The sequence below is a fragment of the Homo sapiens genome, chromosome Y, assembly GCF_000001405.40.
Source record: "Homo sapiens chromosome Y, GRCh38.p14 Primary Assembly".
Lineage (NCBI taxonomy): Eukaryota > Metazoa > Chordata > Mammalia > Primates > Hominidae > Homo > Homo sapiens.
Window position 1 is genome coordinate 24,043,848 of NC_000024.10, and position 12,907 is coordinate 24,056,754.

General features: G+C 37.8%; 1 protein-coding gene and 1 pseudogene across 4 annotated transcripts; both read right to left on the reverse strand.

Moving 5' to 3' along the window:
- Positions 1–772: 772 nt before the first annotated feature.
- Positions 773–4,172, reverse strand: CDY1B (chromodomain Y-linked 1B). Of its 4 annotated transcripts, XR_938655.3 has the most exons (3): positions 2,250–4,167; positions 1,630–1,829; positions 773–854 (listed from the first exon to the last, which is right to left on the reverse strand). XR_938655.3 is itself a non-coding variant. In NM_001003895.1 (2 exons), the coding sequence occupies exons 1-2, from the start codon at positions 3,839–3,841 to the stop codon at positions 1,757–1,759; spliced, it is 1,665 nt and encodes a 554-aa protein (NP_001003895.1). In that variant the 5' UTR covers positions 3,842–4,167; the 3' UTR covers positions 1,382–1,756. The 4 variants fall into 4 exon arrangements, 3 of the variants coding, with proteins under 3 accessions (NP_001003895.1, XP_011529786.1, NP_001003894.1); NM_001003895.1 differs by lacking the exon at positions 773–854 and having other exon boundaries at positions 1,382–1,829; XM_011531484.3 differs by lacking the exon at positions 773–854 and having other exon boundaries at positions 1,382–1,829; positions 2,450–4,159.
- CDY17P (chromodomain Y-linked 17 pseudogene) lies at positions 5,930–8,066 on the reverse strand (annotated as a pseudogene).

Consider the following 12,907-nt stretch of genomic DNA (forward strand, 5'->3'; position numbering starts at 1 on the left):
TAGTTTCTGAGAGTCAAAGGCACATTGTTTGAAGTTCCCTATGTGCAAGGCTTTTTGCCCTGTGAAACCACCCACATCTTTGTAAATACTGTAAAATTGTTCCTGCTTTCTTAGCAGTCATATCAGAAAAGCCCACAAGAAACAACTCCCAAACGTCAGAGAAACATTCTCCCTGGAAACACTCAAAACCACATTTGTTACCACAGGTTTTCTCATCTTCTTGATGCAGAGAACCTTTTAGTCACATCATCATCAGCTTTTCCAGTTTTTACATCCAACCCTCCACGTTCCTTACTACCCCTATAGGAAATGCCCAATGAATGAGGTGCCAGTAAAGTGCAAGTTTCTTTTTCATTACAGTACCTTAAACAAATAAAGTAAGACCTGGGGAAGTTTTCTGATACATCAATAAATATATAGAGCCTTTCTAATATCTAGCCCTTTTTTTGGTCTTAAATGGGAAGATGTTACCTTATTGCTGAGCCAAAATCTTACTGCTTCTGACAAATAGCCCTACAGTCAACAGAAAGATGCTGGGCCAAGACGCATTTCTTCTATAGCATGTCATAGTAAATAAAAAGCAGTCAAAGAGAGAAAGAGTGAAGAAAAGACAAGATGCTAATTTCCAGTAGAAAGAGAGACAGAGCCCTTTGAAAACCCTAATTTAAGTCATAGTGATCCCATAGATAAGAAAAAAAAAAAAAAAAAAGAAAAAAGGAAAAAGAAAGCAGGACATTGGCCCTTTAGATACCCCAGCTCTAAACCTTTCCCATGCCAGGGCTAGGATGACGTCCTTGGGCCTTTGCATTTTCTGGCATTTCTTCTTTTGTGGATGCCACTGCATTCTTCAGTGCCTGCAGAAGAGAAAGCTTGTGGTATGCCTGATTCACCTAAAGATTTGCAGGGAGCTGTCACCTGTACCAGCACCTGACCTGCTTACCTCATCACAGATAACAGGCAAAGCTGTGTGCAGTGGCTGGACTGAACCAACACTCACTCATGCATCTGCCTCCAGTCTGTGCCTGGTGCATCCATAGCAAAATGAAACCTAAGCCCATAGTTTGAGCTGAGTGCAGCCTGTAAGATGGGTTTGTAAAATTAGAAAAGCAGGCTCAAGGGAACCTTGCACAAAGGTGCCATCATCCACAGAGGTTCTTGGCTGGTGAAGTGACACCCTAGAGATCTTGTGACAAAGATGACATTCATCACCAGTGGCCAGTGGATTATTCAATTATGTCTATGTAATGGAGCCTCGATAAAAACCAACAAGACAGGATTCATAGAGCTTTTGCATAACTGAGCACATACAGTGTTCTAGAAAATTGTGTGCTCATAAAAAGAGACACTGATAATTGTAAAGGTCATACAAAGTGTAGCGGTGTTTGCTTTGAAAGAAGTTTCTGCCTTTAATAATGTGTCCAGAATTTTAACTTATTAACTAGAACATACACTAAAGTAACCTAAATCTGCACATTCCACACATTAGAACCTGGATATTTCCACCAAAATCATTCCATAATTCACTAATGTGGTGTAACAAGTTTTACTTTAGAGCGATAAAGTTTTCTTTTGTTAACTGGGTAAGAACTAGACATTTATAAAGGAAAAGAAAATCAAGCGATATCTCACCACCAATTCTAGTCATGTGTTCAGTTTAGGAGAATGATCGTCAGTGGATTTTGAGCCATAAGTATTTATGCTAAAAGATAAGTCTCTTATAATTGTGTGTCTCTGAAGCGTTTGTGCCACTATAAAGTCAAGGGCACCATCTCTGATCATTCTGTGTCTTTCTGGGAGGGAAGGCTGCTTTATATCCCAACAGAGGTATTCTAGGATATAAAAATAAGAAAAAATCAACATTATTACAGGATTCTCTGTCACAAACATCTAATAAAACACAACTCTGGTCTTATATATAGTAGTAGCCATAGATACATATTAGAGCTTGCAAGAAGAGTCTGTTTTTATATTTGGGCTTAGGTGTGCATAAAATAATCACATTTGGGCAAAGAGGCTGTTTTGTTACTCCTTGTAAAGCTACAGTGCTTAAAAATGATGTGATAATTTAAATACATAGCTTGGACATTTCCAGTTCTGTTTCCAAGCCTTAGCTATGGGTGAAATTGTTTTGGGCTATGAAGATGGATTAGGGCATCTTGCAACTCATGATGCATTTGTTGCCCCTTAGTTCTTGTGTCCTGAGCAGACAGACTGACAATTAAAACTCATCAATTTTATTTTCAACATACTTTAACATGGATTCTATCCCTTGGGCTGAGCTCCAGATCTTCCTCAGCACCTCACACTCTCTCTCATTGGCCTGTTCCAACTCCAACTTAATATTACAGCGAACGAGGGCCTTACATTCTTCCAGTACAATTGGATTGTATGAGGCAAGCTCCTTAATTTGAATCATAACCTCTTGGGTGAAAGTTCCAGTCAAAAATACCTGAGAGACCAGGCCTTTGGCGCATGCCTCCCTTGCTGTCAGCTTTCGCCCAGCAATTAACATTTCATTGGCAGATGCTTTACCCATCATTTTGGGGAATGTAATAGAAGAACAGCCATCTGGACTCTGTCCAAAGGTCGTATAAGGGGTTTGGAACCAAGCCTTTTCATTAGCCCACACGAGATCACAAAGAGGCAGGATGGATGCACCTAGTCCAATCGCAGGGCCATTGACTGATACAACAATAGGCTTTTTAAATTGAATAAAAGTATTCACAAAGTTCTTGATGGTGTCCACCATTTCAAGGCTTGCTGTGTTTCTGTTATTCCTTAAGTGCTTCACAAAGTACCCAAAATCAAGACCGCAGCAAAAGACACTTCCAGCTGCACTGAACAGCACGAGCTTGCTGTCATCTGCAGCAGCGCTATTCAGAGCATTAACTATTTCTTTAATTACTTCTGTATTCAGTGCATTTTTTTCTGTCGATCTAGTTGATAGCACTATCTGGGTGAATCCATCCTCTTTCTTCACTACAATGTCTCTGTATGTGCTGGCACTTTCTGTTAGCCTTATGGTGAAGTGCATCTTCTTGATAAAAGGCTGGTCTCTGCTGTCATCAGTAATATTTCTTTGCCCACCTTTCACTCTTGGAACTGAGGTATGCATGTCTGTTGTCCCATTGGCTGCTAATGGGTCTATTAATACCACTATACCCTTTCGGGTAGCTGAACCTGTGGCCATAGAAGCAGTAACTGAGCCAGACATCTGCGACATTAGTGGGTGTATCTGAGTCTTGTTCTGTATTCCAGTCTGTTCTGCACCAGGACGTGACAAAGGGTCCCGGAGGAGTTTCCCTTCTGTCACCTTGAAGACCACCGTGTCCTGCTGATCTGCTGCAATAGGGTCCAGTTTCTCAAGTTTCTGAAAGCCACTCACAGTTTTGTGGTCAAAGGGGCTGTCAGGTGCAAGGGTCTCAATAGTTGAATTTATTATCTCCATATTCTTTGTGTCGGAGAGAATTGAAGCTGCCTTTCTCCTAACGTTCTTGCTGGCAGCAAATAACTTGCGGTTTTTGGACCTGTGGTGTTTATCAGTCACTGGCGTTTTAGGAGAGTTCTTAGAATAGTTTGCTTTTGTAGATCTGGAAGTTCTTCTTCTGGCATTGTTTGAAAAAATTCTACTGGTTGTAGTCCATGTCAGTTTTTTCTGTTTTTCAGTCTGTCGTCTATTAAAATCATGTACACATTTTTCACAGTTCATGAGGTGCTGCTCTGGTTCCCAAGTGTCATCCTGTTTGTCATAACCTTTCCACCGAACCAAATACTGTGTATTCCCATTTTTATCCTGTCTTTTGTCAACAATAGCTTCAACCTCAAACTCCTGGGAAGCCATGAGGAAAGACACGGGATTGGAACAGTTGCTGTGCCACCTTTGTTTCAGTTGCGTCTCCACATAGACACTTCTTTCTGCCTCCAGCTCTTCACCAGGTTCTGTGTATGGATGAACCTCTTCTATTTTGTCACCACTGGTGTAGTGAAAATTGTGCGAAATAGCAGCTATGCCATGTGCCTGAACCTCTCCATACTTACTGCCTGGTGGGACAGCTTGGGCTTTGTCTCATGGTGCATGACAACTTGCTCAGTAGCCTCAGGTGAGAGTAGCTAAATCCACAGCCCCAACCCTCTGGTGTAGTACAGAAAGCTTTCTTCCTGCCTGTTACTCTTTTGTGTTTCTTTGTTTAATTGTGGTTGCTATGACGATTATATGGAACATTCTAATGTTATAACATTTTTAAAGTTACACTAGCTTACCTTCAGTAACATACAAAGCCTTTACTCCTGTATAATGTACCTCCATTATTTCACTTACTGAGTTCTCAAAATTATACCTTTATTGATTTTATGTCAAAAACACAAATTAGTGGTAGTTTTTTTATTAAATATATTTGTGTTTTAAGTTATGTGGAGAACAAATTGTGGAGGTGCACATTGTTAATTGTTCGTTTTGTTTTGTTTTGTTTTGTTTTGTTTTGAGATGGAGTCTCGCCCTGTCAATGAGGCTGGAGTGCAGTAGTGAGATCTTGGCTCACTACAAGCTCCACCTCCCGGATTCATGCCATTCTCCTGTCTCAGCCTCCCGAGTAGCTGAGACTACAGGCACCTGCCACCTGGCCCTACGAATTTGTTGTATTTTTAGTAGAGACGGGGTTTCACCATGTTAGCCAGGATTGTCTCGATCTCCTGACCTCGTGATCCAAGCACCTCAGCCTCCCAAAATGCTGGGATTACAGGTGTGAGCCACTGAGCCCAGCCAAATTTTTTATCTTACATATTTGTTCATGTATTTATCTTTACCTTAATCTTTGTTTGTTCATACTGCTTTTGAGTATCTGTCCATTCTACCCTGAAGTACTCCATAAGACATTTCTTAAAGGGTAGTCTACTTGTAAAAGGTGCCAGTTTTTATATGGGAATGTCATAATTTGTCCCTCACCTTTGATGGACAGTTTGGTGGATCATAATGTTTAGGCTTGACAGTTTTTTCTGACATCACTTGGAATATATGAGGCTACTGCTTTCTATCTCAGTTTTCAGATAAGAAATCTACTGCTTTTCGGTGGTTATTCAGATAAGTGATCCACTGGTTATTTTTAGGGTCCCTTTTACATGACTAGCTACTTCCCCTGCTTCCCTTGAAAATCCTCAAGGTTCTCTTTGTATTTATTTTAGACAGTTTAATTATCAGGTAAGTTTGAGTTTGTTTCTTTGAGTTTTTGTTACTTGGAGTCTGTTGAGCTCCTTGGGTGCTTACTTATTGTCTTAAATTGTTGCATTCTTTATGACTATGTTGTTAAATAGTATCCATGAGTTTTTGTCTCTTCCTTGGAACTTCCAAAATGCATATGTATGGCTGCTTGATGGTGTCCCTCAGGTTTCTAGGCTGTATAAATCTGCCTTGCCCCTTTTCAGACTCCATTGGTGACCACTATATGGTTGACTGACCCGAAGGGTGTGTATCACAGTGTGGGGACAGTGTGTCAGTTGGTCTCGCAAGGCTGATGCATCCCAGAGCTCAATTCCCAGACTTCAATCATTGCAGTCTCATTAGTGCACTACGACCTAGAAAACTCTAATTGTGAGATATCACACAGAGTTCTTTGTCTCATGGCCAAGAAAATTAAGGAGGATGGATGCAAAAAGGTTGAATCAAAACTTTTATAAGTGAAAGTAAAAAACTCTTCACAGTGGGGGTGGAATGTGAGTGGTTTACCTACTATGAGGCTGTGCTTTACAGTTTCTAAGGACAGAGAAGTAAAGAAATGTGGTTAGTGTTCTTGGAGTAGGTGTCATTTGGCTTGGCCCTGAAACTTGGCCTTGGATTCATCTGGAGCTGAAGTGATGATTTGTAGAAGCTACAAGGCTCAGCCTTGGAACTTGGCCCTGGACCAAGAAGGAGCTGAAGTGACAGCTTGGCCTGAGACCTTGGCCTGGGATCAATCAAGGGATGAAGTAATGTCTCATGGCCACAATAATTAAGGAGGCTGGATGATGCAAAGTTCAAGTAGGAACTAAAGTAACACAACAGCCATCTGGACTCTGTCCAGATGTCATATAAGGGGTTTGAAACCAAGGCTTTTCATTAGCTCAGAAGAAATCACAAAGAGGCAGTGTGGATGCACCTATTCCGAAGGATGGGCCACTGACTGATACAAAAACAGGCTTTTAAAATTGATTGAAAGTATTCACAAAGTTCTTGATGGTGTTCACCATCTCAAGGCTTGTTCTGTTTCTGTCCTTCCTTAAATACTTCAGAAAGTACCCCAAATCGAGACCACAGCAAAAGACACTTCCAGCTGCACTGAACAGCACAAGCTTGCTGCCACCCACAGCAGCCCTATTCAGAGCATTAACCATTGCTTTAATTACTTCTATATTCAGTACATTTTTTATGTTGATCTAGTTTATAGGCACATCTGGGTGAATCTGTCCTCTTTCTTCACTGCAATATCTCTGTATGTGCTGGCACTTTCTGCTAGGCCTATGATGAGGTACATCTTCTGGATAAAAAGCTGGTCTCTGCCACCGTCAGTAACATTTCTTTGCCCAACTTTCACTCTTGCAACTAATGTATGCACATCTGTTTTTCCATTGGCTGCCGATTGGCCCATTAATACCACTATACCTTTTTTGGTAGCTGAGTCTGCAGCCATGGAAGCCGTAACTGAGCCAGACCTCTGAGAAAATAGTGGGTGAATCTGGGTCTTGCTCTCTATTCCACAATGTCCTGCCCTGGGATCTGATAAAGCCCTGATGATCTTCCCTTCCTCCTCCTTGAAGACCACTGTATCCTGCTGATCTGCTGCAATAGGGTCCAGATTCTAGAGTTCCTGAATGCCACTCACTGTGTTCTTGTTGTTAAAAGGGTTGTAAGGGGCAAGTGTCTTTCTTGATAGTTGAACACAGTAGCTCCATATTCTTTGGGTCGGACAGAGGTGACCCTGGATTACTGCTAACATTCTGGCTGGCAGAACATAACTGGCTGCTTTTGAATTTGTGGTGTTGGCCAGACACTAGCGTTTTAGGAGTATTCTTAGAAAAGTTGGGCTTGGTAGATGTAGAAGTTCATCTTCTGGTATTGTTTGAAAAAGTTCTAGTTGTTCTGGTCCATGCCACTTTTTTACTTTTTCTGTTTTTCAGTCTGTCATCTGTTAAAGTAATATATATATTTTTGACCGGTGCTGCTCTGGTTCCCAAGTGTCATACCGTTTCTTCTTAACCTTTGCAACACCAAAAATTTTTGTTGTTGTTGTTGTTGTTTTGTTTTGTTTTTTTTTTTAGACAAAGTCTTGAGCTATCACCCAGGCAGGAGTACAGTGGCACAATTGCACAATCTCGGCTCACTGCAACCTCCACCTCCTGGGTTCATGCGATTCTCCTGCCTCAGCCTCCCGGGTAGCTGAGATTAGAGGGGCCTGCCACCACGCCTGGCTAACTTTATGATTTTTAGTAGAAAGAGGTTTTCACTGTATTAGCCAGAATGGTCTCCATCTCCTGAACTCGTAATCTGCCCGCCTCAGCCTTGCAAAGTGCTGGGATTACAGGCATGAGCCACTGTGCCTGGCCTCTGTCTTTCCATTTTTGTCTCGTCTTTTGTCAACAATAGTTTCAACCTCAAACTCCTGGAAAGCCAGGAAGAAAGACACAGGATTGAAGTAGTTGCTGTGCCAAATTTGTTTCATTTGCATCTCCACATAGCCACTTCTTTCTGCCTCCAGTTCTTTACCAGGTTCTGCGTATGGATGAGCCTATTCTATTTCATCACCACTGACGTAGTGAAAATTGTTTGAAATAGCAGCTATGCTATGGGCTTTAGGCTCTCCACAATTATGCCCTGGTGGGACAGCTTGGGCTTTGTCTCATGGTGCATGATAGCTGGCTTAGTAGCCTCAAGTGAGAGTAGCTAAATCCACATCTCTTACTCTCTGGTGTAGTACAGAAAGCTTTCTACCTGTCTGTTACTCTTTTTCTTTTTTAATTGTCATTGATACTGTGATTACATTGAATATTCTAAAGGTATTCCACTTTTAAAGTTATACTAGCTGACTTTCAATAACACACAAATCCCTTAACCCTGTATAACTGCACCCCCATGATTTCCTTATTGAGTTCTCAAAATCATACCTTTATGCACTGTATGTCAAAAACGCAACTTAGTGATAGTATTTTTATTAAATATATTTGTGTTTTAAATTGCATGGGAAACACATTGTGGAGGTGTACACTGTTATTCTTTATGTTTTATAATAGCTTATATATTTATCTTTACCTTAATATATATCCATTCATACTGCTCCTTATTATCTGTTCATTTTACCATGAAGTATCCCATAAGGCATTTTTTAAAAAGATAGTCTACTGGTAAAATGTCCCAGCTTTTATCTGGAAATGTCATAATTTCTCCCTCACTTATAAGGGACAATGTTTTGAACATAAGATTTCTGTTCAAAAGTTTTTTCTCACATCATTTGGAATATGTTAATCTATTGCTTTCTGTCCTCTGAGTTTTCAGATAAGGTATCTGCTGATTATTTTTGAGGGTTACTAGCCAGTAACATAACTAGCCACTTCTTTTGTTGCTTTCAGGATTTTCTCTGTCTTTCTTTTGATGAGTTTAATTATCATATAATTTAAGTTTGTTTATTTGAGTTTCTCTTACTTGGAGTTTGTTGCCTTTGACATTCTTTAACATTATTGTTTCTAAATAGTCTTCCTGATTCTTTTTCTCATCCTTTGAACTTCCAGTATGCGTAATATGTCTGCTTGATAGTGTTCCACGACATTTTAGGCTTTATTCCCATTGCTTTATACTTTTTCTTTCATTTCCTAACTTAATTATGTCAACACCCTTTCTTTGGTTTGCTGATAGTTTGTTCTTCCCCCAGCTCAAGTCTGCTTTTAAATATCTGTAGTGAATATTTTTTTCTTTTTATCCCTAGACTTTTTTAGGTTTCAAAATAGTTTTACTTTTTTATTAATTTTTGTTCATAATTTTTTGTGGTTCTTTTTTTTCTTCTATTAGCTTACTCTGAAACTTAATTTTAAATATTATGTTTCTGTAAGACCACCATTTGGGCTGTCTAAAAAAAGTTTCAGACCATAATTTTTTTTTACGTCTTAAAATGAGCCATACTTCTCTGTTTCACTGTGTGGTTTATCTCTAGACTTTTTTAGGTTTTAAAATAATTTTACTCTTTTGATTAATAATTTTTGTCTGTAATTGTTTGTGCTTCTTTTGTTCATTCTATTAGCTTATTATGTAGCTTAATTGTAAATATTATATTTTAGTAAGGCTGCCATTTGGGCTGTCAAAAAAAAGCTTATTTTTTCGTAATTATTTTGTAGTTGTTATTAAAATGAGCCATACTTCTCTATTTCACTCTGTAGTTTGTGATTTTGCTGGTGCTGAAAAAGAGCATTTAAATTTTAAAGTGCTGTAACTTTGAACATAAGATTTTCTACTTCTATGGTTTGGTAGAGTTTTGTTTACTCATTATATAGGCTCTTACTCTCCTGTAAATCAGCTGTATTGAGCTTTGTCTTGGGTCTCTTTTGAGGCCCATTGTTTTGGGGCACATATCGTTAAAACCACAATTCATTATATATATATATGTGTGTGTGTGTGTGTGTGTGTGTGTGTGTGTGTATATGATTAATTTTGAATGTTTTAGTCTACAAACATCTTAAGAGAAAAAGAAGAACAATCAAGAAAAAATATTTTCGCTTTTTAAATCTACTGAAAGTTGGTTGCACAGAGGGACAAAGAGCCTGCATAATATTTGGGGAATATAACAATGACGATTCACCTCTGTCGGGACCTCCATAAGCAGAAGCAGCAATCGGCAAATGAGTCCCCCTGAGATTTGGAGGACAGGGTCCTTTTTGTTTGCCATGGCTCTTGTAAGCTGCTCCAGAAATATTTGCAAAGCAGCATCCCACATTGGTGGTTATTAAGGAATAAGTAGCTGCTGTTGATCTGTGCTACAAAATTGATAAAATCTTTTTTTGGAAGCTGTAAACCTTCAGGTAGACTCGGAATTCTATAGTAATTGCATCATACTAATCCTGCCACTGCACCCATTGTATAGTTGAAGGGACGGATATACAGTGATCCCTTGTACATTGCAGAACTTTCCCAGAATCTAGTATTATTTTACTTCGACCTATTTGTCTTTGCACCTAAAGTATGCCTTGCATAGAAGTCACAAAAGTGACTCCTTCGTTTAAGGGTACACTTGCAACAATGTGTGCCTTTTTAAGCAAGAGCTCACATTTACAGTTCTTACAAGTAAAATATTACATACTCTGACATGGACTTACATGTTTTCCATATGCTCTTTCTCTTGCTTGATCCTCAATTTCTTTTTTGCTCATTTAAAAAATCTGGATAATTTTTAAAAACTGCTGTTGTATTTTTCATATTACAATTAGGTGTACTTGGGATTTCAACTATTATTGAAAACTTAAAATATCCTACTATGAAGAATACTAACTTGTATGAATAATTTAATGTTTAAGGTCAGCAGTATAAAAATATGCTGCTCTTGTAGTTTTCCATCCTTCTCAATTTATATTACTTTCTCTGATTTTATCTGTGCACACAGATTGTTCATTAGCAGTTAAGTTTGCCAGGGTTGAAAGAGCAATAGCATTTTGTTATAGAGAAGTTTAAGTCACAATTTCCTTTAGCTTTTCCTTATCTATATATGTTTTCTTAGTTTCATTTTACCAGTTATATATTTCAGGTTTGATAGCATTTTTCTTAAAACTTGGATATCCCACCACCTTCTGACTCCATGGATTCAGCTGAACAATCATGTGTTAATTTTAATCGAGACCTTCTTGTACATAGAAAGTTGCTATTCCCTTTCTGCTTTTACAATTTTCTTTGTATTGGCTCTTGATTGCCTGTAATGTTTTCTGATGTGGCTATCATTGACTATATTGTGGTTGAAGATTTTTGTCCTCTTTCATCTTTCAGATTGTGATTTTTAAGTTCAGGAAATGTTTAGTCATTTTTGCCTTAAAAATTTTTGGCCTCTGTTTTTCTTCATTTATAAGATGCTCATAATGCATGTACCAGTATAACGCATGGTGTTCTATTTACTCTTCAGTTTTTTTTTTTTTTTCACTTTCTTTAAATTGTACTTCTCAGACTGGGTTATTTCAGTTTTTATTCCTTCAGACTGACTGAATATTTACTTGCTTAAATCTACTGTTAAATCCCTTTAATATCTTCAGTAGTTTTCCCATTTTTATGGGTTCTTTTATAATTTGTCTCACTGACGCTCTCAGGTTATTCTTTCATCATTTGTCCGTCATTTCTCTTTAGCCCTACTTAAAACTGTTGTTTTAAGTTCTTTGTCTATAAAATTTGGGACACATTTAATTCCTGCATTTAGTTTACATTGTTCAAAACTTTCTGTTTGTTTTTGTGTTTTTGGTTTTCAGAAAACTATATTTGAAATGCCATAATGTGCTAACACTGAATGTTACCTCTGTATTTGAAATGTCATAACGTGCTAACTCTGAATGCTTTTTGGTATTTCTGAAATGCAACGTGTTAGTTATTAAAAGCTCAGCTTACATTCCATTAGCACTTTGAATAAGAGCAATATGAAAACTATCACCTTTAAATACAGGGTATGTATTAACACTCTCCTTTAACTCTCAGGGGGGTTGTTTCTAATTCTTTCCTAACATTCACTTTCTTCTGACTCTGAAGCTATAGATAAACTTGAGGGTTAAAGTATATTGTTTTACATGTTTTTTAGAATGTTCCTGTCATAAGCATATGCATGATTTTCTAAGTGCTTCAATGTATTAAACTGCTTTTGAATATTCAGATTTTTGCAAATACAAATCTCTCCAACTTTTGCTCCTGTTTATCCTTTGCCTAGTGTAAAAGATAACTGTATTTTTTGTATTCAGCAACTTAAATGTTTGTGACCAATTCCTGGCATTTCCAACCAAGAGTGACTTCTGAGTTAGGCAAAGGAGAAATAAATGTTTATTTTATCAAATTTTCATATGTCCTCTGGAAAGACTGGAAAAAAAAACACAGTAATTTAGCACATAAGGGTTTCTTTCCTTTTTTGAGAAGCAGGAATCAGGTCCTCATTTTGACAATGTGGATTTCAATTCTGAAGGCTTCATATGTGCCTAGGAGGTGATATGACAATCCTTAAAGAAAAAAAAAAAAAACTTTACCATTTTGTAATTGTCTTTCTGGATTAAATGTTTACTTGGTTTATATAAACTATTGATTTTCAGGGTCCAGACTGTTTTTGATGGTTTGAAACTTTTTTTTTTTTTTTTGGAATGGTTTGAAACTGCCATCCCTGCCGTTTTACTTTTATTTTTATCTATGAAGCACTGAGTGTTTTCTAATTTCAGAGTTTATTGTTATTTATGAGGTTTATGTTTTGTCTCTTGTTTAAAATACTTAAAGTGAATGTTACATTTCCAATTTGCAATCCCAGGTGTTAGGTTTTTGTTTTAGTGGTCATGTTATAAAGTTTTTGTTTTTTTATTAAGTGAAATTATCAATTTTGTATAAAATGCATGAGGTAAGATTCTCTGTTATAAAGTACATTTTGGTTTTTGTAAAACAAACATACAATAAGTGGCTTACAAAGTGACTTTCAAATAATTATCTAAAGAAAATAATAAGAAAATAATGTAAGCATGCAGCAAGTTCAATAAGTACAATGATTCCTGGTGGAAGGCTGTATAAATTGTTTTTAAAAAGCCAGCTACCTGTGGCTGCAGCAGGCTGTAGAAGGGGGAAAATTATAGAGGATGAGCTCATAGAGGTAACAGACAGTCCATGTGATTTTCTAGGGTTTTTATAGGTCTTCAGATTTTACTTTAGACTTCACCCTAACCCTGGTTTGTGACT

What these genes read in the sequence shown, in the direction of transcription:
- CDY1B (NM_001003895.1), bottom strand. Translation starts at nt 3,841, where the DNA reads ATGGCTTCCCAGGAGTTTGAGGTTGAAGCTATTGTTGACAAAAGACAG. An exon ending in GGGATAGAATCCATGTTAAA is followed by an intron (nt 1,830 to 2,249) that starts GTATGTTGAAAA and finishes TTTATATCCTAG; the next exon opens with AATACCTCTGTTGGGATATA.